This window comes from Homo sapiens, chromosome 3 (genome assembly GCF_000001405.40).
Source record: "Homo sapiens chromosome 3, GRCh38.p14 Primary Assembly".
NCBI classification, from domain to species: Eukaryota; Metazoa; Chordata; class Mammalia; order Primates; family Hominidae; genus Homo; species Homo sapiens.
Window position 1 is genome coordinate 100,380,608 of NC_000003.12, and position 25,949 is coordinate 100,406,556.

The 25,949-nt window shown below is 39.7% G+C and overlaps 2 protein-coding genes across 2 annotated transcripts in view, besides 6 other annotated features; one reads left to right on the forward strand and one right to left on the reverse strand.

Moving 5' to 3' along the window:
• TOMM70 (translocase of outer mitochondrial membrane 70) overlaps nucleotides 1-20,482 on the reverse strand; it is a 37,659-nt gene extending 17,177 nt beyond the window's left edge. The window contains exons 1-5 of the mRNA NM_014820.5: nucleotides 20,019-20,482; nucleotides 6,198-6,371; nucleotides 5,611-5,737; nucleotides 3,872-3,981; nucleotides 1,008-1,156 (exon numbers count right to left, since the gene is read on the reverse strand). Coding sequence (NP_055635.3) covers nucleotides 1,008-1,156; nucleotides 3,872-3,981; nucleotides 5,611-5,737; nucleotides 6,198-6,371; nucleotides 20,019-20,342 — 884 coding nt within the window. The 5' untranslated portion in view covers nucleotides 20,343-20,482. The remainder of the gene's footprint in view (nucleotides 1-1,007; nucleotides 1,157-3,871; nucleotides 3,982-5,610; nucleotides 5,738-6,197; nucleotides 6,372-20,018) is intronic.
• Nucleotides 18,900-19,819: an enhancer, noted in NCBI's record as "H3K27ac-H3K4me1 hESC enhancer chr3:100118351-100119270 (GRCh37/hg19 assembly coordinates)". NCBI's record gives its function as "activates a minimal SCP1, AML or CMV promoter by ChIP-STARR-seq in primed H9 embryonic stem cells {active_cell/tissue: H9 hESC(primed)}" and the evidence as "EXISTENCE:reporter gene assay evidence [ECO:0000049][PMID:30033119]".
• Nucleotides 20,181-20,260: a silencer, noted in NCBI's record as "silent region_14571". NCBI's record gives its function as "represses an Ori minimal core promoter by ATAC-STARR-seq in GM12878 lymphoblastoid cells {active_cell/tissue: GM12878}" and the evidence as "EXISTENCE:reporter gene assay evidence [ECO:0000049][PMID:35858748]".
• Nucleotides 20,501-20,610: an enhancer, noted in NCBI's record as "active region_20157". NCBI's record gives its function as "activates an Ori minimal core promoter by ATAC-STARR-seq in GM12878 lymphoblastoid cells {active_cell/tissue: GM12878}" and the evidence as "EXISTENCE:reporter gene assay evidence [ECO:0000049][PMID:35858748]".
• Nucleotides 20,661-20,710: an enhancer, noted in NCBI's record as "active region_20158". NCBI's record gives its function as "activates an Ori minimal core promoter by ATAC-STARR-seq in GM12878 lymphoblastoid cells {active_cell/tissue: GM12878}" and the evidence as "EXISTENCE:reporter gene assay evidence [ECO:0000049][PMID:35858748]".
• Nucleotides 20,721-20,810: an enhancer, noted in NCBI's record as "active region_20159". NCBI's record gives its function as "activates an Ori minimal core promoter by ATAC-STARR-seq in GM12878 lymphoblastoid cells {active_cell/tissue: GM12878}" and the evidence as "EXISTENCE:reporter gene assay evidence [ECO:0000049][PMID:35858748]".
• Nucleotides 20,871-20,950: a silencer, noted in NCBI's record as "silent region_14572". NCBI's record gives its function as "represses an Ori minimal core promoter by ATAC-STARR-seq in GM12878 lymphoblastoid cells {active_cell/tissue: GM12878}" and the evidence as "EXISTENCE:reporter gene assay evidence [ECO:0000049][PMID:35858748]".
• LNP1 (leukemia NUP98 fusion partner 1) overlaps nucleotides 20,932-25,949 on the forward strand; it is a 54,781-nt gene continuing 49,763 nt past the window's right edge. Inside the window, exon 1 of the mRNA NM_001085451.2 lies at nucleotides 20,932-21,832. The gene's annotated coding sequence lies outside the window, so the exon portion shown is untranslated. The remainder of the gene's footprint in view (nucleotides 21,833-25,949) is intronic.

The following is a 25,949-nucleotide window of genomic DNA, read 5'->3' on the forward strand; positions in this document are numbered from 1 at the left end:
TAGAATAATGGTATTAAATTCATTATAGTTTTTCTGGGACAAGGACTATTTCTTAACCAGAAGAAGAAAGTATTTGCATAACTGTCACAAGAGCTAATACGACATCTTAAACATTTAATTCCCAACTACAATCTTCTCAAAGATTGTGTATCAATGAACTAAAATTTGTACACTGCAGTATAATTATGCACAGTATCTTCTCTTAAAAGGTCAATAGCAATGGTAGAAAAATTGGAAGATAAAAATCAAAAGCCATTTGTTTCTTCAAACCCTCCAATATGCTGAAGATGCAAAACCCAGTTATGCACAGCTACTAGAACAGTATTTCCTTTTCTTCCTAACTCGTTAAAAAAATCATGTTGATAATAATATTGTACCTTCTCTCAGAGAGGGCTACCCTTGACAGAAAAATACAAGTATTGATAAATACGAATGGAATAAAGCAGGCTAGATGGTTTATACGACATTATATCATTAGGTCTCCAGCTAGAAACACAGTATCCTGTACTTTGGTTTCAGCTCTCTACAGGCTCCAACAAGAAGCCCTCCAAATGGGCATCTTCCTAGACAAGCAGAAAAATCCTTGAAAAAATTCACTCTTTGGGCACCCCTAAAAGTATCTGTTTATAAATTAAAAACTTCCCTGCACTAGAACATCTGCATGTTGAGCTACACAATAATTTTCAAGTTATTGCCTCTATTCAAACACGGTCAGCCACTGGATTCAATCGGAGTCCTTTTGAGAAGATCATATAGGACCTTGAGTAAAAGCAGGGTAGACTCCTGGCAGTAAAACCCTGAGTTACCAGAGAAGTAACAGATACATGCTAGAAAGAAAAGTGTTTTTATAATAATAATATTATATAATTTTTAATTATATTTCTGTCTATCTCTATCTGTAGATAGATAGCTGCTGTTGTGAGATGGCTCAGAACCCATATGGGCCCTAAGGAAAGTTCAAAGCACCCAAAACACCACTAAGTAGACACTATGCTTGACATACTTACTTTTCTTTCACTTCTAAAGCCTCCCCTTCCTTGTCTTTATCTTCATCAGATTTCTCTCCTTTAAGCATGGGCTGGGAAATGATATCATCCGTGAAAGAACTGAAGTAAGATTTGATAAACTGTGGAGATGGCATCAGAGGTTCACGATTCTGAAATTTAGTCATGTTTAAAGACATCAGGATGGGAAATACCAACCAAAGAAGCAGGTACATTGTAGAACGCTAAGAATAACTGTCATAAAAATTGGATTCTCATTTTCAAATAACTAAAATTAAGCTCCAAGCCACAGAACAAAAGACAGTGGAAAAGGTGAAGCTGCCAGTCCCAGCTGTTTAAAGCTGGTTTTAAATGAGAGCCTTTTCCCTCTACAAAGATGTAAGACCACATCTTACACAGGTGCTGAAAATGTTAAGTCCATTTACCTTGGGCTTTCATCTGAAGATCTTTATTACAGGTAAGTGCCACTGAAAACCATACTGAAATCACATTTCCTGTTTTGATTATTTATTTGAGGCATAGCCACCCAATTCACAATTATGGGAGTATTTTGTTCCTCCCGAAACACAATTACCGTTTTAAATAAATAAGTTTTAAATAAAGTGGAAATAACACACCCAAAAGGCTCTCATAATGTATTTTGAATGCTTTATCTATAAAATTCAGCCCAAAGAGTTTAATGGAAACATGCGATTTTTCATTTTATGTATAACAAATATCATTACTGTTATTTTGGTAATGTCTTCATATTTGAAGGAATAAAAAAAGGAATTGGCTTTATAAGTAAATTATTTAATCTAGGATAGATAAAAGTGGGATAGAAAGAGAACTAAAAAGGAAACCTAAGAGAAAACCCATATTGATCTGTGGGCACTCTCTGGGGAGAGATTCAATTCGTTTTAATTTAGGATAACAAATATTTTAAGTCAAATGGTCACCTATCAAGTGATAAATATGCCTAACTTTAGTACTTTACTAAAGACACTGAGAATAAATACATAGTGGCAATCATTTACCATTTTAGGGGAAAAGCTTAAATAGAAATTTAAATACCACTTACCTGAAGCTAGATAAATCATTAATGTTTTTTAGTTTCCTGTTTCAGCTTAGAAATGAAGCTATCACCTCCCTGCCTTCCATACAGGGTTATAAATTTAAAGTGAAAATAAACGGTTACAAGAAAGGGATTTAAGTATCAAAGGAACAGGATACAAATTCTAGTTCTGCCACTTATTAGCTATGTGATATTATGCATGTCATTAAACGTCTAGTATCAGTGTTCTCATCTCTAAAATGGCAATAGAAATATTTGCCTTATTTATCTTATACAGTTGTTATAAAAAAATCAAAATAATAATATGGAAGGTATTTTGTGATTTACAAAGTGACAAACAGATTAGAAAATGTGGAAACTGATCTGTAACCTATGTAAATATACATTATTTTATATTTTCTTACCATCTTGCAATCCAACCAGTCTAATTACTCCACACTATGTACAAGGAAACTAGGTTCCTTTGAGGTTCAATTTATGGACTCTACCATGGTGTTTTACAAAGTGATTTTGAGAAACACTAGTCTTACGAGATGCTCGAGAGAAAAAAAAATCCATGGTTTAAAGAGAATGGGGCCAGGCACAGTGGCTCATGCCTGTAATTCTAGCACTTTGGGAGGCTGAGGAAGTTGGACGGCTTGAGCTCAGGAGTTCGAGACCAGCCTGGGTAACATGGTGAAACCCTGCCTCTACTAAAGTACAAAAAAATTAGCCAGGCATAGTGGTGCATGCCTGTAGTCCCAGCTACTTGGGAGACTGAGGAACGAGAATTGCTTGAACCTGGGAGGCAGAGGTTGCAGTGAGCCAAGATAGCAACTGCAGTCCAGCCTGGGTGACAAAGAAAGAAAAAAACAAACAAAAAAAAAAAAAACAGAGAGAGAGACTGGGAACCACTACAGCCACTACAGCTATACCCCTCTTAGAGATTCACAACACACCTTAGTAGATTATTAAAGTCCAGCAGTGAAGAAACTTGTTGTAACTGTTTCACTCAGCTAATATCCAGAGATATAAAATTAAAAATACAGATTACTAAAATCAATTCAAGAAAAAAGCAAGTTATTATTAAAGGAAAAAGGAACAATTATCTCGCTATTACTGGGATTTAACAGTGAATCTCCAGTGATGTTTAGTGATGCCTATGGTACTCTCTTTACTTACATCTCACCTTGGGCACTTAACTACTGCATGCCTTTTATACACAGTAACAGTCAGTCTCTCTCACTAAATTTTAATTCTATAAGGGTAAGGGCCATGTCTTTGAACCCATCCCTCCAAAATGCCAAACATGTAGCTTTGTTTAATAAATGATTGTTGAATTAAACTACCTGTTAATAATAGCCTAAAACTAATGCCAACTTACTCAGTATACCTTTAAAAACTTTAATAATATAGAAAAATATTTTTCTGTGAAAGGCCAGATAGTAAATATTTTAGGCTTTGGAGTCTATACAGTTTGTCACAACCACTCAACTCCGCTGTTGTATCTCAAAGGCAGCTGAAAACAACATGTGACTGAACATTATTTATAAAAACAGGTAGCAGACTGGATTTGGCCTATGGGCCACAGTGTGGCAATCCCTAACACAGATGAATTCCAATATTCTCCAGGTAGAGTAATGGACAGAGCATATATTCTTACTGAAGAAGGACAAGCCATAAAAGCCAAAGATAACAGGAAGAAGAAATATAACCCAGTTCTAATTGCAGTTGTTGCCATTACCACTATGCCTAAGCTTAAGCAGCATAAATTAGAAAATACCCTTCACAATGTACACAGTACTCCCCCATTCCCCAAATCAGATCAATTTACCTTATATTTTTCTTTGGCTTTCTCTTTTCCAAGGAGTTTAAGAACTTTATCGGCTAACAGCATGCTTTGTTGATTTTGGAACCCTTCTAATATACACACAGCAGTGACATCTAGAAATGATGAAAAACACAAGGGTAAATATAAAATTATTGCAAAGATGGTCAGCAGCATCAAATGGGTACAATGTAACTACAGAAAGCCAAACTAAATTCATGGCCAAATGGGACTGTTTCATTTCCAATTAACTGATTCTTAATACCTAATTTTATATTCTCTATGACCAAACTGAAAGCTCAGAAAGTCACTCCACTTCTCTGGGGTTTGCTTTCCTTAACTGTGAAATGAAAGGGGCTATGCTGCATGATTTCTGATGTTTCTCACCACTCTAACATTCTCTTCTGGCTAGCAACTCTAAGGCATATAAACATAGTGTGGCTCTCTCATGTCTGGTGTTTGTTTATAGGCCTCAGAGTTATTCCCTGTCTCCAAAGCCATCTTGCCACAGAGCTCTCAAATAAATCTGCCTCAATACCATTTTCATCTGGTTATGTCACAGCTCAAGATGCATGCAGTGGTTTGAAATTAAAAAGTAAGTGGTTCCTTAACCTCTCAGCCTTTCGTTCAAAGCACTCAAACAATGGACGTCTCGTCTCTTCCCGAATTAAATTTCTTGCAATTCCACATCCTTGCTCCACCAATCAAGTCAATCTGCTGATATATTCCCCTGATAACCACGGCTAGCGCCAATGTCAATGTCTTTTTTCCCATCCTGTTTCTTCTACGTGACACTTCGATCAACCTCCTCTCTGCCAGTTATTGTGTTAGTAACTTCAAGGTCTGGTTCAAAACTCAGGATTCCCTTTTCTAAAACAACAGTCTTTTCACACACTACCAAAGTATGTGCCACCACAAAACCTCAAATTTTGCTAAAATGTTCTCTAAAATACCCTCATTTGGTAATCTACACTTTTCTTTTCAGAAAGGGGCCTTTTCCTTTTACTGATGCTTTTAAAGCAGACAAATATATTAAGTGGAAAGAACTTTTAGATTGTAGAAAATTATACTTTGGTTTTGCTTCATGTCACCTAGAAGAATGTACTTTAAAGGCTGGATGTATACTGTTAATTGCAGCTTTGGAAGCAGAGAAATGGCCAATCAGAGACCACAGAATATTTATGGCATTTAATGAGAATGACAAATTCACTTTGATGCTTTGTACCAATTACATCATTTCCAATTAGGTGTAAATTAGGTATAAAACAATAATTTCCAATTGGGTATAAAATAATGTTTGAAAATACCAAGGGCACAAAACAATGTTTTCTTTAATGATTCATCTCAAAGCTATGTTTATACATATTATAAACACAGCTCTCAAAGCTATATTTATACATATTAAATGAAATATGTAGAACCTTAGAAACACTATCACTTGCTAAAACTTCTTTTCTGATTTCCTTATTCAGAGAATTATACTAATGCTCATTAGCTGCTAAGTTTAAAATGTGTAGTACATAAACTCCTAATCTTAATAGTCATTTAATTCCATAGTTGAGAACAGAGACAATACTTAAGTATCAGCAATCTTACTTTAAACTAGAAGACACAATCTTAAGTGCAAAGGAATCCAACTTTTAAAAACAACTGATTCTTGCACTCACAAGGCAGTTTCATATACATTTACCAATGACTACAAAATATTAAGTAATTTTCATATGTAAACACAAAATTACCCTCACCTTCTAAACATTCCTTCTTATTGTCTAGCTTCTCATGGGCTTTTGCACGTCTAAAGAGAGCTTTCACATATTTGGGATTAAGTTCAACAGCTTTTGTACAGTCTTGTGCCACTTCTTTCCATTTTTGCTGTAATTGAAAGTATTTAAAAAAAGTCACACTAAAGAAAGTACTGTTCAATAGAAATCAGTTTAAACTTGATAGGTTGAGTATTAAAAGTCCTAGAATAAAAAAGTATTCCTAATACAAAGAGTTAATATCTGCAATATATTACAAAAGCTCATATAAATATCAAAAAGTTAAAGAAATAGCCTCAAACTGTTGAGGAGAATAGGGTCACCAGAAACTTTCTATACTATCTAATTTTATAAAATGTGAAATATACTTAACTTTGGAGTATATCTGTAGTCAGCAAAACTATAGAATTTGTTCTTTAAAAAGTTTTGCAATTAATGGAAATAAGAACAACATCCCATAATTTTGAAACAACTTCAAAAAATGTATTAGGTTTATTTGAGTAGCTTTAACTGAAACTTTAAGCAAATAAAGAGAAAGAAAAGGAACAGAAGAAACAACCTAGAGTACATACCAACTGTTCAAAGGCAGCAGCTCTGTTTTGATAAAATGTAGAAAGGTCAACATTCTTCTCTGTAGGGCACAAGCTAATAGCCTCAGTATAGCACTGAATAGCTTGTTCATATTTTCCTGCTTTAAAATATTTATTGCCTTTATTCTTGGCTGCTTGGGCTCTATCAAGAGAGTTCTGAAATGAGAGGAAACAATTATCAAACACTAATCAACATTCACAGACTCAGACCACAGTAATTAAACAATAAATTGATAAAAACAGGAAGACAGAATGGCTGTTTACAATGTAAGTTGCTTCATACAAATATCTTCATGGAATAGATTCTAACTAGTAGGATTGTTGAGTCAAAAAGCATATCTTGGCCAGGCATGGCAGCTCATGCCTATAATCTCAACACTTTGGGAGGCTGAGGCGGGTGGATCACTTGAGGCCAGGAGTTTGAGACCAGCCTGGGCAACGTGTCGGAACCCCGTCTCTATTAAAAATACAAAAAATAGCTGGGTATGGTGGCACACGCCTGCAGTCCCGACTACCCGGGTGGCTGAGGCATGAGAATTGCTTGAATCTAGGAGGTGGAGGCTACAGTGAGCCGAGATCATAGCACTGTACTCCAGCCTTGGTGAGAGATTGGGACTCTGTCTCCGCCTGCCCCCCCAAAAAAGCATGAGAGGTGTCTTGCTATGCTGCCCAGGCTACTCTCAAGCTCAAGCAATCCCCCTACCTCCATGTTCTAGGCAGATGGGATTACAGGTGCACACCACCACGTCCAGCTAAAAGACACAGACACAGACACAGACACACACACACACACACACACACACACACACACACGTATATACTTTTTTTTTTTTTCTTGAGACAGGGTCTGTCGCCCAGGCTGGAGTGCAGTGGCACAATCTTGGCTTGCTGCAACCTCCACCTCCTAGGTTCAAGTGATTCTCCTGCCTCAGCCTCCCGAGTAGCTAGGGCTACCAGCGTGCACTACCACATCTGGCTAATTTTTTAATTTTTAGTAGAGATGGGGTTTTGCCATGTTGCCCAGGCTGGAGTCTTATATGTTTTTAATTTCAAAAACACTCAGACTTTTTCAAAAAGGCTGCAGTACTTTAAAGTTTTTAAAGGATTTAAAGTGCGCAAAGGATTTCTAGGAAGCTCTAAGTATCTAAGATCAGAATATTATATAGCTACTTTAAGCTAGCTAGTGTCAACCAGAATGTATATTTTAAAACTGATGTGGGAGGATGAAAGGAACCAAGACAAGCACATATAAATTAATAGATGAACTTAAAATCTTCCATTTGTCAGTAGACTTAATTATGTTCCAAAAGCTTTGAGACATAAATTTAATTTCAAGGATACATATGTTTCAGGACTATGAATATGTGCCAGGACTAACAGAGACTGCTACAGGACTGACAGAGAAACACCCACAAAACACCCACAATAAAGCAAAACTAGGAATCCCTTATGTAGTTGTGGGCTCTGGGGGGCAATCGTCAGGGTGATTGCTAGAAAACTTGCATTTGAGACAACCTCAACAATCCTCCCACTCCACTGGAGGAAGCAGAAATCACATTAGAGTAGGGCTGTGTCATTCAGGAGTGAGGATCTTCTATATGAGAGACAAGTGGCCAGGTACCATGGCACACACCTATCGTTTCAGATACTTGGGATGCTGAGGCAGAACTGCTTGAGCCCAGGAGTTTGAGATTAGCCTGGACAACATATTGAGACATTGAGACCAGACTCTCTTAAAAGAGACAAATGACAGTGACAGGGCATACCATACCTTGCCTCTGTTTTTTAAGAGACCACACAATCGAGAATTGCTAACAAAAGGGAAAAACAACCCATAAAAAAAGAGGCCCCCAACTCAAATATAAAAGTAGTATCTGAGAAAGCAGGATATACCAAGCAAACAAAAAATTTAGTTTCAAAAAAATGAGAGGCTATCTTCCCATCATTAAAAGAGGTTGCTTTTAAAGAGCACTAATTAGAAATCTTAAAAATGAAAAAAGATTATTACAATTAATTCAGCAGATTGGCTGTATATTAAAGAAGCGAGCTGAGGAGCAAATTAACAAGTAGAGAATGGGGGAAACCTGACAGAATGCCATGGAAACAGAGGACAGGGAGGTGGGAAGTTTGGAGAAATTAAATGACATGAAGTATAAATCCAGAAGTTCCATCATTTGCCTATGTGGAGTTCTAAAAGGAAAGGCATAGAAAAAAAAAATCTAAGGAATTGGAGAAATTCTCGGAGTTGAAGAAAAATGACATGCATTTTTAGACACATCATGGTGAAATTTCACAACAAAAATCCTGAAAGTATTTAAAAAGAAAAACAATCCAGTGCCAGACTGTCACCAACATTTGGTACTAAAAACCAATTAAGTAACAATTTCAAAGTTCTAAAGCAAGATTATTTTGTAACTAAAGTCTTATACCTAGCTAAACTAGCATTTGAGGTTGAACACAAGAACAGAAATAGAAATGTACAGCTTCCTTACCACTAAAAATAAACCCCCAAATAGGGAAATGACCAATACAACAAAAAGCAGAAAGGAAGGAAAAATAAGAAACAAAAAAGCAGAGTAAATATGGCAGTAATTGCTAAACATGTAAATAGTAAAAATAAATGTGAGTAGTTTAGAGCCCTGCATTGAAAGACTTTCAAATTGTTTAAAACCAAAACTAACTACCTGCTGCCTATAAGGCATGATGTAAAACCAAATGACATACTAAGGCCAAACAATTTTTTTTTAAAAAAGGAATGTAAAAAGTTGTGGAAGGTGAATACTAAAAAATAAAAATTAAGGTAATATAGACAAAATACCATTCAAAAGCATCACATGATGTCCAGATAGTTTTACTGATAAAAGGTTCAATCTGTAAAAAAGGCACAATAATCATGAATCTTCATTTATCTAATAAAGGTTTAAAATAAACTCAATTGGCTGGGTGCAGTGGCTCACGCCTGTAATCCCAGCACTTTGGGAGGCTGAGGCGGGTGGATTACCTCAGGTCAGGAGTTCGAGACCAGCCTGGCCAACGTGGTGAAACCCTGTCTCTACAAAAATAGAAAAATTAGCCAGGATGGTGGCAGGCACCTGTAGTCCCAGCTACTCAGGAGGCTAAGGCAGAAGAATCACCTGAACTCAGGAGGCGGAGGTTGCAGTGAGCCGAGATCACACCACTGCACTCCAGCCTGGGAGACAGAGTGTGACTCCATCTAAAAAAAAAGAAACAAAGGAAACAAACTCAAGTATCATTGTCTCATGCACCACTGGCTCCAAGACAAAAGGTCATTAAAGTTAAAGACAAACAGAATCATCAGGATAATTACATCTTTTTCTTTTTGCCAAGCAAGTATAATTGAATTTATTTTAGTTGATATGATTCTACTATACAATAACCAACAGTGTAGTCTTTATCCTGAAGGACCATACTGTAGACTAGTGTAGGAAACAAACAACCGTCAATCTCGCAAAAGAACTATTACTGATAGAAACACTAAAATCCCATTATGAAAATGTACAGTTATACACCACATAACAATGTTTTAGTCAATAACAGACTGAATATACAATGGTGGTCCCATAAGATTATCATGGAGCTGAAAAATTCCTATTGCCTAGTGATGTCACAGCCATTGTAATGCACTACTCATGTATCTGTGGTGCTGCCGGTATAAACAAACCTACTATGCTGTTAGATGTATAAAAGTATAGCATATATTGGGGCCGGGTGCAGTGGCTCATGCCTGTAATCCCAGCACTTTGGGAGGCCAAGGCAGTAGATCATTTGAGATCAGGAGTTTGAAACCAGCCTGACCAACACGGTGAAACCCCATGTCCACTAAAAATACAAAACAATTAGCCAGGTGTGGTGGCGAGCGCCTGTAATCCCAGCTACTCAGAAGGCTGAGTCAGGAGAATCACGCGAACCTGGGAGGCAGAGGTTGTAGTGAGCCAAGATTGCGCCACTGCACTCCAGCCTGGGAAACAGAGGGAGACTGCATCCCAAAAGAAACAAAAACAAAAACAAAAAACAGGCTGAGTGCGGCGGCTCACGCTTGTAATTCCAGCACTTTGGGAGGCTGAGGCGGGTGGATCATGAGGTCAGGAGATCAAGACCATCCTGGCTAACACGGTGAAACCCCGTCTCTACTAAAAATACAAAAAAAATTAGCCAGGTGTGGTGGTGGGCGCCTGTAGTCCCAGCTACTCAGGAGGCTGAGGCAGGAGAATGGTGTGAACCTGGGAGGCGGCGCTTGCAGTGAGCCGAGATGGCACCGCTGCACTCCATCCTGGGCAACAGAGTAAGACTCCGTCTCAAAAAAAAAAGTATAGCAAATACAATAATGTATAGTACATATACTTGAGAATGACAATAAACAACTGTGTTACTGGTTTATGTGTTTACTATACATATACTATACTTTTTGTTATGTTAGTATACTCCTACTTTTTTTTAAAGTTAACTATAAAATAGCCTCAAGGCAGGTCTTGAAGGCAAGAGCTACTCTAGAAGAAGGCTTCTTATCATAAGAGATGACAGATCCATGCATGTTAATGCCCTTGAAGATCTTCCAGTGGGACAAGATGTAGAGGAGGACAGGGATACTGATGATTCTGACCTTGTGTAGGCCTAGGCTAATGTATCTGTGTCTTAGTTTTTAACAAAGAAGTTTAAAAGTTTAAAAAAAAAAATTTTTTTAATAAGACAAAGCTTATAGAGTAGGGATATAAAGAAAATATTTTTGTGAAGCTGTACAATGTGCTTGTGTTTTAAGCTAAGTGTTACTTATTTTTTAAGAGACAAAGTCTCCCTATTTGTCCAGGCTGGTATCGAATTCCTGAGATTAAGCAATCCTCCCACCTTAGCCTTCCAAGTAGCTGTACGTTAAGCTAAATGTTACTAAAAAAAGTTAAAAAAATTTAAAAGTTCATAAAGTTAAAAAGTTACATACAGTAAGCTAAGGTTAATTATCGAAGAAAAGTATGTTATAAATTTAGTGTAGCCTAAGGGGTATAGTGTTTAAACAGTATACTACAGTAGCATTCAGTAATGTCCTAGGCCTTTACTTTCACTCACCCACTGACCCAGAGCAGCTTCCAGTCTGACAAGCTCCATGTTAAGTGCTCTAAACAGGTGTACCATTTTTTATCTTTTATACTGTATTTTTACTGGATCTTTTCTATGTTTAGGTACCCAAATATTTACCACTGTGTTACAGTTGCCCACAGTATTCAGCACAATAAAATGCAGTACAGGTTTGTAGCCTAGGATCAATAGGTTATGCCATATAGCATAGGTGCGTAGGAGACTGTACTATCTAGGTTTGTGTCAGTATACTTGATGAAATCCACTAATGATGCACTTATTGGAACGCATCTCTACTGTTAAGTGATGCATGACTATATATTAGGTGGTTGGTAAATTTTTGAGCCAACAAGCAGAAAATTATTAGTCCAAAGAGTAGCAACTGCATATACACACACACATAAATCCAATATTATTCAAGTGAGACACATGATCTAAAGTAAATACTTCAGGTAATACACCAAAGAAAACATTGGGAAACATATCTTTTCAAACAGTATGGAAGATTTCTTTCTTTTCTTTTTTGAGACAGAGTCTTGCTCTGTCACCCAGGCTGGAGTGCAGTGGTGTGACCTCGGCTCACTGCAACCTGTCTTCTGGGTTCAAGTGATTCTTCTGCCTCAGCCTCCTGAGTAGCTGGGATTACAAGTGCACGCCACCATGCCAAGCTAATTTTTGTATTTTTAGTAGAGACATAGGGTTTCACAATGTTGGCCAGGCTTGTCTTGAACTCCTGATCTCAGGTGATCCACACACCTCAGCCTCCCAAAGTGTTGGGATTACAGGCATAAGTTACTGTGCCCAGCCTGGAGATTTCTTAAAGAACTAGAATAGACATAAAAAGAACTAGAGTAGGTCTACCATTTGATTCAGCAATTCTACTACTGGGTATCTACCCAAAGGAAAAGAAGTCATTATATCAAAAAGACACCTGCATGTGTATGTTTATTGCAGCACAATTCACCATTGCAAAGATATGGAACTGGCCAGGCACGGTGGCTCATGCCTGTAATCCCAGCACTTTGGGAGGCAGAGGTGGGTGGGTCACCTGAGGTCAGGAGTTCAAGACCAGCCTGGCCAACATGGAGAAACCCCATCTCTACTAAAAACACAAAATTAGCTGGGCATGGTGGCGCATGCTTGTAATCCCAGCTAGTCGGGAGGCTGAGGCAGGAGAATCGCTTGAACCCGGGCAGCAGAGGCTGCAGTAAGCCGAGATTGTGCCATTGCACTCCAGCCTGGGCAACAAGAGTGAAACTCTGTCTCAAAAAAAAAAAAAAAAAGATAGGGAACCAACCTAAGTGCCCACTGATAAAAGTGTAGTATATATACCCATGGAATACTACTCGGCCATTAAAAAACAAACATGAAATAATGTCTTGCAGCAACTTAGATGGATTTGGAGGCCAATATCCTAAGTGAAGTAACTCAGAAATGGGAAACCAAATACCATATGTTCTCACTTATAAGTGGGAGCTAAACTGCAGGTACACAAAAGCATACAGAGTGACATAACGGACTATGGAGACTCAGAGGAGGGGGGTGGCAGAGCATGTAAGTGATTAAAAAAAAACTACATATTGGGTACAATGTACACTTGGGTGATGAGTGCACTAAAATCTCAGACTTTACCACTATACAATTCATCCATGTGACCAAAAACCACTTGTACCACAAAAGATATTGAAATAAAAAATAATAAATATATCTTTTCTCTCTTCAGTGTACTGAGACTTGTCAAACGAGGCAGAACCTAGGAACATACCCCTCAGCTCTTAATGACATGAAATCTACTCTAGAAAACAGGTTACATTTTGAAATGAAAGCTACAATATTAAGGTACAATCCAGGTAAATCTAGTGGAATACAAAGTAAGAAAATCAGGTTTTGCTTAGGATAGTCAGTGAAGGCTACTCATGAGAATCCGCTCTGAAATAAAAATGACTAACAAAAGACAGGAAAGTACTCCAGGAAGGAAAAATAACCCTAAAAGGATTAGCCCACATATAGAACCTCAGGAGATCAGAAATGCACCAGCCTCTAAAAACAAGTCCTGCAACACGATTACATGACTACATTGCAAAAAGCTGTCAATGATATACATCTGGCAATAAGAAAACTATTATAAATTCTCAGCATTTATAAAATATTAACCTGATGATCACGTATAGTCACTGTAAAAGAAAATGAGCTAGAATTAGGTACATTAATCTGCGTGTGAGAAAATAAAATGGGTATTAATTTGTCACCATGATGACACACTTATACCCAGTTAAAATATACCTGAGATGGTTTGATGTTTCTCTTAAAATGGTTTTATTGTTTTAAATTTCTCAAACTCAAAAAGCATATATTATACTTGAATCACAGCTTTATAGAAGTAGCAAATAACTCTGGAACACTTACTGTATGAGAAACAATGTTTCAATACTTATTGACCAACTGTTACTTTTTCTTTTTTTTTTTTTGAGATAGAGTTTTGCTCTGTCGCCCAGGGGGGCACGATGTCCACTCACTGCAACCTAAATAACTCTGGAACACTTACTGTATGAGAAACAATGTTTCAATACTTATTGACCAATTGTTACTTACTTACTTTCTTTCTTTTTTTGAGACAGAGTTTTGCTCTGTCACCCAGGCTGGAGTGCAATGGCAGGATCTCAGCTCATTGCAACCTCCACCTCCCGGGTTCAAGTGATCCTCTCCCCTCAGTCTCCTGAGTAGCTGGGATTACAGAAACCCACCATCATGCCCGGCTAATTTTTGTATTTTTGTAGAGATGGGGTTTCACCATGTTGGCCAGGCCAGTCTTGAACTCCTGCCCTCAGGTGATCCACCTGCCTCAGCTTCCCAAAGCGCTGGGATTACAGGTGTGAGCCACTGTACCTGGCCAACCAATTGTTACTTTCATATGAATCAAACCTAGGATAATAATACCTAAGATAATAAGGATTCAAACCTAATAAGGAATAAAACCTAAGATAATAAAAAAGTCCTTTCCCATTTCACGTCTGGAAATTTTAAAAATGACAACCAACCCCACCTACTAAATCATAATAACTCTTTACCTAGGAAGAATATACTTTTATAATGACTGCTTCTGCAGGATTATGATTGTAGGTCATGCATAATCAACTGATTTACAAAAAGTATGCCCAAATGAGGTTTAAGATTTACGGCCAGGCGCGGTGGCTCACGCCTGTAATCCTAGCACTTTGGGAGGCCGAGGCAGGCAGAGCATGAGGTCAGGAGATTGAGACCATCCTGGCTAACATGGTGAAACTCTGTCTCTACTAAAAATACAAAAAATTAGCAGGGTGTGGTGGCACTCGCCTGTAATCCCAGCTACTCGGGAGGCTGAGGCAGGAGAATCGGTTGAACCCGGGAGGCAGAGGTTGCAGTAAGCCGAGATTGCGCCACTACACTCCAGCCTGGGCAACAGAGTGAGACTCCATCTCAAAAAACAAACAAAAAAACCCAAAACAAACAAACAAAAAATTCACCAGGCATGGTGGCGAGCTACTCAGGAGGCTGAGGGAGGAGAATCACTTGAACCCAGGAGGCGGATGTTGCGGTGAGCAGAGATTGCACCACTGCACTCCAGCCTGGGTGACAGAGCGCGACTCCAACTCAAAAAAAAAAAAAAAAAGAGAAAGGAAAAAAGATTTCCACGGAATCCAGCATTAACTGGTAGAACAAAAATGAAGAGCTGGAAAATTTGAAAAATATACCACTTGTGAAATTTATATATACATACACACACACATATATAAAATATAAACTTAGGGATGTCAAAGGAACCCTTAATTATTAGTCAAAAAATGAAACTTCATTCATTCAACACTTGCTATGCACCTGTATTAGGTTCTGGCAATACAATGGTGAACAAGATAGAGCCAGTCTCAGCCTTCACAGATTCAAGAGCATAGCAGGAAACAGCAATAAGCAATTCTAGTACCACGTGGTAAGTGCTATAAAATGGAAAAGTCCAGGGTGTTATAAAATCACATAGTGGTGTGCTTAGGTAGAGAGAAGTTTCAGAAAAGATGAAATGACCTCTGTATTGTGATAAGGAGACTAAGAATCCATGAGGCTGGTATCAGGTTTTTTTTTTTTTTTTTTTAAATCAGGAAAATGGAGTACCTCAGAAGCAGCAGGAAAAGTTATGACATTTAGAGCACAATATGAAATACTGCCAAGGATTAAGATTGAAAAGTGTTAACTAAGCTTAGAGGGAATGTCATTGGTGTCCCTGATTGATTTTTTAAAAATGACTCAAAACAGATCATTTGGGGGAGAGAATGACTTCATTTCAAACAAGATGACCAATAACAACAGTTTATGCAGTCCTCGACCCTTTACTAAAATGTGTAGGTACATCTTCCCTTTCCTACTGTAGTAGGCTGGCTTAGATTATTGGTTCCTAACCATTTCATGTGGGCTAAACTCATTTCATGGGCTAAACATATTTAATGCTAAATATGAACACAAGAATGATGCATTTTTTATCATCAGATTAAATAACAATTGGACAAAAAAGTTACAATGAAGTCAATAATGCTTTTAAATAAGTGCATTTTTCTAGAAAATCACAGGATGTTTGAAAAAGAAGTATCTGGGACATTGGTACAGCCAGGATACCATGCTTGGAATATATGTGTGGTGGTCCCTCGTGATGACTCAAGCCCACAGATTGAGAAGCACTATGGATAATATGATCTTCTAAAAAGCCTTGCAATTTAAAATTTTTTTTTAATTCTTCAAGTTTAAAAAAATTACTGAAGCAAAATGGCACATCATGGTAGATTTTATAATAGTTCAAAATGGAATATGATCTAATACTTTAAGCACCTCAGTCTTAGACACTATCAACTGTGACTAAATGCTTTTCTTCAGTGATACCCCAATATTCCCATTAATTAAAACAACTATGAATATCCTTTGCACTTCCTTTACAAGTTTTTGCTATCCCAGAAAAAAGGTAATTGTGCACACTAATTGTAAAGGAAAATCTCCAACCCAATAGACAGAAGTCCAGTAATTCTATCAGATCATTTTACATTAAGGTAAACATAAGCCAAAAGACAAAAATACAGATTTTCCATTCTATTTTCTGATATCAAACCCTAAACAGACAATATTTGTCTATTTATTCATTCCTTTAAAAACTGTAGCTATTGCTCAGGTGGAGAAAGGACAGTTAGGGCATCAGGATTCTGCCAGGTTTCCATCAGTGAAAGCAAATGCTTCTGGTTGCGAAATCCACCGAGGATGCCAATTTAGAGGTGCTATTCAAATGTACAGCAGTTTATCCAACCACAGATAAGAAATTACAATTACTGATCAATTAATTACATTTAGATAGTCTAATAATAACTCTAAGGACCAGACTATTAAAAGAAGACAAAAGTAGTCTTTCAATATTTACTGGTCACCAACAGTTAAGATATAAATTTCCAGTTTAAAAAAATCACAAAGACCTTCCTATTGTTGCTTTACCAAAGAACAATCTAGTAATTCAAAGATTACAGGTGTAGGCCTACATATTCCACAAGATGGACAATGGTAAGTGCAAATGTTTTGCCTTATTTTATTTGGGGCCAAAAATAAATCATTTTAAAGCAGTTTAAGTTACACAAAGAGTCCAATCTTAAATTCTAATTTTTAACAGCAGTCAGGTGAATAAAAAGTTATTTGTGGTCAGGGGCAGTGGCTCATGCCTGTAATCCCAGCACTTTGGGAGGCCAAGGCGGGTGAATCACGAGGTCAGGAGTTTGAGACCAGCCTGGCGAACATGGTGAAACCCTGTCTCTACTAAAAATACAAAAATTAGCCAGGCGTGGTGGTGCGTGCCTGTAATCCCAGCTACTTGGGAGGCTGAGGCAGGACAATCTCTTGAGCCCAGGAGGCAGAGGTTGCAGTGAGCCGAGACCTCGCCATTGCACTCCAGCCTGGGTGACAGAGTGAGACTCCGTATCAAAAAAAAAAAGTTATTTGTAAAACTAAAAAACTCTGAAATATCATGAAATTAAAAAATCATCAGTGTTGATCCAGACAACGTGGAAAAGAGGAATTAGGACATCTAAAATGTGAAAAGGAGATGGCTAGGTTTTATCAAATACCAATGGTACAGATCCCCTGGGATGAGGTGGGGTGGCTGAAACCACAATGAAATGTTAAAATCTAGTTTCAGCCGGTGAGGTGGCTCGTGCCTGTAATTCCTAGCACTTTGGGAGGCCGAGGTGGGTGGATCACCTGAGGTCAGGGGTTTGAGACCAGCCTGGCCAACCAGGCAAAACCTTGTCTCTACTAAAAATACAAAAATTAGCCAGGCATGGTGGCGCATGCCTGTAATCCCAGCTACTCAGGAGGCTGAGGCAGGAGAACTGCTTGAACTCAGGAGGCAGAGGTTGCAGTGAGCCAAGATCGTGCCACTGCACTCCAGCCTGGGTGACAGGGTTAGACGCTGTCTCAAAAAAAAAAAAAAAAAAAAATTTAGTTTCATGTATAGAAACTATCTTTATTTTTAATGTTTACAGAACTGAGAACTTTTTGGATCTTTTATTTTACCTACTATTCTTCCATGATTAAAACTAAATTAACAAACGAAATAGAAAATGACTGGAGAATTTCAGACATCCAAAATTGATGTAAGACAAGTGATAATTAATTCAAATAATCCTCTTGATAACTACTTTTAATAGCAGCAGTGAGCTATTATAAATGATCATAATGAGAATCATCAATTTTTAGTACTGAAAGAAACAGAAGAGATCTAATATTTTAATCCTCTTATTCTACAGGGATGACGCTAAGGTCAAGGAGACAAAATGACTTTCCCAAAGTGACAATGCTGGAGAGCCCACTATAAAGCTTACAAATCCTAGTTCTAACACAGTCCATAAGTTCTTCTACTATCCAGTCATAAACCTTTTAGAAAATAGGTAATGCTTCACTCTCCCATAGGAAAGATCATATGGCTTTCTCATGGCCTAGCACAATGCCTCACACACTGCAGATACTAGTTTGTTCATTCCTACACCAAAACTTCCTTTAAAGCTAATTTGACATCCTAGTAAAAATATCTTCGCCCGGGCGCGGTGGCTCACGCCTGTAATCCCAGCACTTTGGGAGGCCAAGATGGGCAGATCACCTGAGGTCAGGAGTTCAAGACCAGCCTGGCCAACACAGTGAAACCCCGTCTCTACTAAAAATACAAAAATTAGCGGGGCATGGTGGCGCGCGCCTGTAGTCCCAGCTATTCCGGAGGCTGAGGCAGAACTGCTTGAACCCAGGAGGCGGAGGTGGTGGTGAGCTGAGATCGCACCACTGCACTCCAGCCTGGGCAACAAAGTGAGACTCCATCTCAAAAAAAAAAAAAAAATTCAACCTGAATAGTATAATATGGAAATGACTTGCATACATATTTAAGTGTATACACTTGGATACAATTAGAAGTTACTTGACCAACTGTATATACTTATGTATAAAACTGGGAGATATTTGACCAAACGTTTCTCTGACCTCGACTTACTCTGGTACTACCATTGAACAACTCCAGACCCAGAGAAAATCCACCACACCCAATCCCAGTATTGTCAAATGCAGCCAGACTAATTCTCTGCACAGCTGTCAGATACCAAAAGGATTTAACAGTCAGTTCACCAAAACCATACAAAGCAGTTCACTAAATAATCCAATGCTTGGCCTCACATCAGAGAAACTGTATCATGCATATTAGGCTTGGTCATGTACATTTCCAGGTGAAATGGAAAAACTGAATTTAAGATGCTTCCAATCAAAAAGTTTAAGAAGTCACTCCCATTTTTTTTTTTTTTTTTTTTGTATGTGTGTGTAGGCCTGGACCTGGGGCAGGGGGCTGTGTGCAACCAAGCCTGGTGAGCATTGCTGTGGCCGCTACTCTTGTGCAGCAAGAGGGGACAGTGCAGTGCAGAGCGTTTTCTGACAAAGGCCAAGGGGTCCGGAGTGCAAAAGGACACCTTGGGGCTGGGGCATGGCAGGAGAGGTTACGGGCGCTGAGTGCTTGCAGCCAAGGGGGCTTCGGGGTTGCTGAGAGAGGACGAGCCTTGGGAGCTTGACAGTTCTGCTTACAGTTCAGAGGCTGTAAAACAAATGCCACTGAACACCATTTCACTCTTTAGAACCTGTGTAGTCTTTCTTTTTCTATGTAGAAAGCCATCTAATCGTTTTTGTTTTTGTTTTGCTTTTGTCAACTAACCGTCACTGTAGTTGCCCACTTACCCCCAGCAAAAACACACTCCAAAAGGGGGAGTGGCTCATTATTAAAAGGCTCTTAGCGATTAGGTTGTAGGCTTTGGAAATCACAGAAACAGTTCGTATCACGATGTACCAATTGTTAATCGAATTTAGCTTCCTTCACTTATTAAATACAATCATCACATTTGCAAATGCCCCACTCCCATCTACAACACTAGGGATAAATGCTGTGTCACTGAGAAGAAAAGCAAAGGATTTTTCTGAAACCAAAAGCAAACTGTCAAAGAATGCCAGTAACCTGTCATCGAGCTACTCTATGCCCTCCACTGGCAGCCAGAAATGAGTCTCCCTAAACCCAAGTGTTGTGCTGCCGCTTGGCAGCTTCCGTCTGATGGGAAGCCCCCTCACTGACACAACCCGCCAAGGAAAAGCTGCACGAGCCAGTTTCCTCCTCTACGGCCTGGGGCTGCTTCTCACCATGTCCAAGTGAGCACCGGGACCTTCAGGGTGTCCGCTGCCCGGGGCCGGACTGGCCCTGCCCTCCGGGGTCTTCCGTTCGCTGTTGCGCTTCAGGCCGCTGGCGTCGCCCCGGCCTCTGGCCTCCCGGCGCCGTTGCTGCCGACTCCACAGGTATATGGCACCCGCGCCCAGCAGCAGGGGTGCCCCGACCGCCAGAGCCAGCTGCCATCGCGGCAGCCCCCCCGTGCCCGGGCCCGCAGTCCCGCCGCCGCCCACCCCACTCCCGGAGCTCGGTACAGCGGCTGCGACCACCGCTGCCTCCACAGGTTTAGAGGCGGCCATGACAAGTGTCCTCTGCCACCGCCTCCCTGTCTGTCGCGAGCGCCACAATCACCAAACAGCGTGCGAAGGAAGACCGAGGGAGGGAAGGAAAGCAATGAGCGAGCGAGCACGCTAGGCAGAGAGAGCGGACGACAGAAAAGGGCCAGAGGTCACCGGAAGCCCAGGGCATGCCGGGCCAGACCTGGCCGTCCTTCTCCTCCAGTATCAACCGAAGAGGGAGAGGAGGGGCGGAAATCACTTCCGGGTTAAGGGAAAGCGTGGGTGTGAGTAGGAGTCTTCGGAAACCCTTTTTCTTTCTTTTCGCCCCGCTGCTGTTCGGGAGATGGACTTCTGGAGTCCCCGTCGTAGCTGGTGTTGTCCCCTCTACCTTCAGGAAAGAAGGGCAGATGGCCCTCTTGCCTACTGAAGCCGAGGAGGGGCGCGTATACAGCGGGCTAAGGGCGCTCAAGAGATCCGAGTGGAAGAAAAAGCAGCGGCACAGCACTGGAATGGGCGGGAGTGGCAGAAGAGTTGTGAAGGCTATTGGCTAGCAAGGGTGGTGGGCGGGGCGTAGACCGAGCTACCCAGTTTACTGGTCGATTTCGGATCCAGTTTTCCAGTTATAGCCACGTTGGCACCTCTTGAACCTCTGTGGCCGTTAGCACGGTTTTCTGCCCGCGTGCCCGAGAAACCAACGGATTAGAAGGACTTTTAAAGATGTGTGAGGAAAGAGCTCACCGCTGAAGAAGGCTGCTGCATCACTGAACTTCTTATCACTAACATAGCGAGATTTTAGTTTGGACGAATTTGAGGTTATAGGGGAGATAGCGATGGCAGAAGACTAGGTGGAAATGGCACATCTAGGTTGGCTGCAGTCGAAACGGTTTGAGCGTGGTCGCTGTGGCTCATCGTCGGCACCAATTAACGAAGCGATGACATCTGCGTTGTTAGGGGTTTCTTAAACTGAGTTGGTAGAAATGCGAAGCGTCAGGGTTCCCGCCGGCTTCGAGCCTTTCTTGGCGTATTTGTATCTTGAGCTGATTTCTGCGTCAGCCCACATCTCGCTCTGATCCGCACGCCCCCCGGGTTGTTTTGCAGTAGCAGTCTCAGCCCTCTTCTCGTCTCATTCCCAAATCGTAATTTCAGTTCACAGCTTTTTATCTATAATAGCTTTATCAACTCTTTTTCCGATGCTCTGCACCAGATCTCTTAAAATATAAAATTACCTTGCAAGGTATTGTTTGGAATACACGGTATTTTCATGAAGACAACTATTAATAGAAAAATCAGAGTCCAGAACTATGGTTCTCCATTTCTGGTATACTGGTTTGCAGAAGCCTTACATTAAGATTTCATAAATGATTGTTTTGCTGTTAAGTGCAACAACATCACAGTAGAGCTACATAAAGATTGAAAGGAGATATTTTATCAAGTGGCACCAGAATGGACTGATTAAAATAGAATGGCCTAATTGGAAAGAATTTCAGGATCACCGGTTTCTCCTGCTTCATGTAAGTTCCTATTAGTAAATTGCCTTCAGGCAATAGGGTTTCTTAGCAACAGACTAAAAAAATGGGCTAAAAATAGCAGTGGAATTGAGTTGATCGTTGCAGGCAATAGGCTTTTCTCCCCTCCTGATCCCCCAATCCCCAAAGGCAAATTTTCTGCCCCTTAATATAAGCTCTGCCTTGCCTTTTTCAGAACACAAGTTAGGATTTTTTTTTTTTTCTGAAATTTCAGTTTTGCTGTGGCCTCTTGGAGGATTGTAGAGTGCTAACAATTACAAACTTGATAGGAACTAAAACATATTTGAAGTTTTTTTTTTAAACCTTTTTCTTATTTATTGGAGTAAGCAATACACTGTTACGGTTAAACTCCAAAAGTTACAGAGTTTACTGTGAAAAGTCTTCCTTCAGTCCCTGTCCTCAGCTGCACAGTTCCCCTCTCCAAAGGGAATCGGTGTTATTTTCTTGAAACATTTTTTGGATTAATATTTATCTAAAGGCCTGATTTTGTTTGGCTTTATTTTTAAGGTTGGCATTAGTAAACGAATCTGTTCTGGTTACTTTTATACTTTGATAAACATCTCATTTCCATTCTCTAGCCTATGCTATTCTCTCATTTTCTCCTCCATTTCCTAATTGATGGTACTGTAGAGCCAAATAGAGTGTCGCTTACTGGCTTTGGGACCTTACTGATCTGATGCATGTTTTTCTAATCTGTGAAATGGTGAAAACATCTACCTCTCAGGCTATAGTAAAGATTTAATTAGAGAATATTTAAAGTTCTTTTGATGTTTGTTACAAAGCAATAGATATTTGATGATTAGTTCTCAGTTTTTCTAAATTTTAAAGTAAAGAAGTAAAATACTGCCTTTCATTTCTAAAAAATTAAAGTTCTGTATATGTGAACATAGACATTATCTTTTTCTTGGTAGATTAGTGGAACTCAACTGAAGAAGCTTTCTTCACCTTTGATCTGTATCTTAGGAGGCAGTTAAATGAGATAGTCTAATGGACTAGGTTGTGGAAGACCTGAGTTTTTTTTTTTTTTGAGATGGAGTTTCGCTCTTGTTGCCCAGGCTGGAGTGCAATGGCGCCATCTTGGCTCACTGCAGCCTCTGCCTGCAGGCTTCAAGCAATTCTCCTCCCTCAGCGTCCCAGTAGCTGGGATTATAGGCGGCTGCTACCATGCCAGGCTAATTTTTTGTATATTGGCCAAGCTGGTCTTGAACTCCTGACCTCAGGTGATCTACCTGCCTCGGCCTCCCAAAGTGCTGGGAATACAGGCATAAGCCACCATGCCCAGCTGACCTGAATTCTTATTCTAAATTTTAATACCACTGAGTTGTGTGTGTGACCATGGGCAACTCTGCTTTCTTTATAATGTGAGGAGGGGTGGATTAGATTATTTTTAAGGCTCCTTATTGTTTTAAAATGATGTAATTCTGTCCCTTCAATTGTCATTGCTACATGAAAGGCCTTTCAGATTGCTAGAGTTGGTAAATAGCTGGTTGACTGGTGTCCAAACCTTCCAGCCAGTGCACAAATCTGCTTATATTAAGCATGTACATATAGAACAGCTCTATTCTCTTTCAGCTGTCTGATGTTTTCATTCTGTTTTTCCTTACTGAAAAATTACTGAAAAGAATTGTCTACATCTGTTACTTATTTGGCACCCATTTCATCCAAAATCTGTTGTAATCTAGTTTACAACTTTATAATTAGGCTGAAAGTGCTTTAGAAGTCATAAAATTCATTGTGGTTTTTTTGTGGGTGGGGGAGGTTGGCTGTCACCCACTTTTACTTGATACCACTGATTATTCTCTCCTTGAAATGTTCTTTTCCTTGGCTTCAGGAGAATAGAGTCTTCTGGTTCTTCTACGCTCTGACCAAACTCTAGATCAGTGCTGTCCATCACAGCTTTCTATGATGCTGGAAATGATTTATATTTATGATGTCCAATATGGTAGCCACTAGCCACATGTGGCTATTGAGCACTTGAAATGTAGTGTGACAAAGACTACAGTTTTCATTATTTAATTGATTTAAGTAGTATCATGTGGCTAATGACTACCATATTGGACAGCACAGCTCTAGATATTCCTCAAGTGAGGAATTTATTAGAATATGTCTTCTTCTTTATCTTCAATCTCTCCATTAGTAACCAAAGTAAATCTCATTGCTTCAGGTACCATTTCTGTGCAGATAATCACTGTCTATATATCTTTTGGCATAGCTTCCCTTTTTACCTCTAGCCCTATATTTCTTACTACTTACTGAGCAGTTTTGCTTGGATTCCTGACTTTTGTCAAAAATATAACTCATCATTTTCCCCACTCATTCTTTCTCTTTGTGTTATCCTTTTTTTTTTTTTTTTTCCAAGATGGAATTTCGCTCTGTTGCCCAGGCTGGAGTGCAGTGGTGTGATCTCGGCTTACTGCAACCTCTGCCTCCTGGGTTCAAGCGATTCTCTTGTCTCAGCCTCCCGAGTAGCTGGGACTACTGGCGCCCGCCACCACACCTGGATAATTTTTTGTATTTTTAGTAGAGACGGGGTTTCACCGTGTTAGCCAGGATGGTCTCGATCTTCTGACCTCGTGATCCGCCCGCCTCGGCCTCTCAAAGTGCTGGGATTACAGGCATGAGCTACTGTACCCAGCCTGTGTTATCCATTTTTTCTAATAATACCACTATTACCTTAGCAGTTACTCATATTTGAAACCATAGACCTTTTTAGACCTCTCTCTTTTTCATCCTTACCTACCCAAGCACAAATGATTATGCTGTTGTATTTATATACACACATAAACACAAAATCAGCTGTGAAGTCTTCAACAAATTCAACTTTGTTGTAATATCTTTCTTATAGTTTTTTCACCCATTCTGACACTTCTTAGTTCATATAAGTGAAAACTCCTAAGAGTATGTATAACACATAACAGATACTCAATAAATAGTTTCTTCCCATCTTAGTACAGGCTGCTATAACAAAAATATCATAAAACTACTTAGCTAATAAACTATAGAAATTTATTTCTCACAATTCCTGAGGATGGGGGTTTGAGATCAGTGTGCCAGCATGGTCAAATTCTGTAAGAGCCCTATTCTGGGTTGAGGACTGCAAATTTGGTTTGTGTCCTCAAATAGTGGAAAGGGGCAAGAAAGTTCTCTGGAGTCTCATTTTTATAGGGGCACTCATCCTATTTTTAAGGGCTCCATCCTCATGATCTAATCACTTCCCAAAGGCCTCAACTCCTAATACTATTACATTCCCCTCTTTTTTCTCTTTTATTCATTTCCTTCATCTTGCCTAAATCCTATATTTGCTTGCTTCCCAGATAATTTCTCTGCCTCTAGTGCCTCTCTTCTATGTGTCACCCTGCACCTTGATATCAATTTACTCTTCCTATAGCATAACTGTAATTTCACTCTTGAGCTGAAAGACTTTTAAATCCTCTTCACTTTCACTATAAAGTTCAACATTTCTGCCCACCCATGCCTCCCTTCATACACCTCTTCTCTTTCTTTGGTCTACGATATTAGCACCTAGCACTATTAGAAATTACCTATGTGGGCCGGGTGCAGTGGCTTGTGCCTGTAATCCCAACACTTTGGGAGGCCGAAGCGGGTGGATCACCTGAGGTCAGGAGTTCAAGATCAGGCTGACCAACATGGTGAAACCCTGTCTCTACTAAAAATACAAAAATTAGCCGGGCATGGTGGCACATGCCTGTAATCCCAGCTACTCAGGAGGCTGAGGCAGGAGAATCGCTTGAACCCCAGAGGCGGAGGTTGCAGTGAGCCGAGATTACCCTATTATACTCCAGCCTGGGTGACAGAGTGAGATGCCGCCTCAAGAAAAAAAAAACCTCTCAGGTGTACACTTGTCTGTGGGAAAAATAAAAAAATAGTGTGATCCCCTCAATAGGATGTAAGCCCCACGAGGACAGAAACTGTTCATTTTGTACAGCCAGAGCCCAGAATATAGGTGGTGTGATGGGTAATTTCATGTGTCAATTTGACTGGGCCATGGGATACCCAGATACTTGTTTAAACATTATAAATGTGTCTGTGGTGGTGTTTTTGATTGCTTGATTTTTATTTTTTTATTTTTATTTTTTGAGAT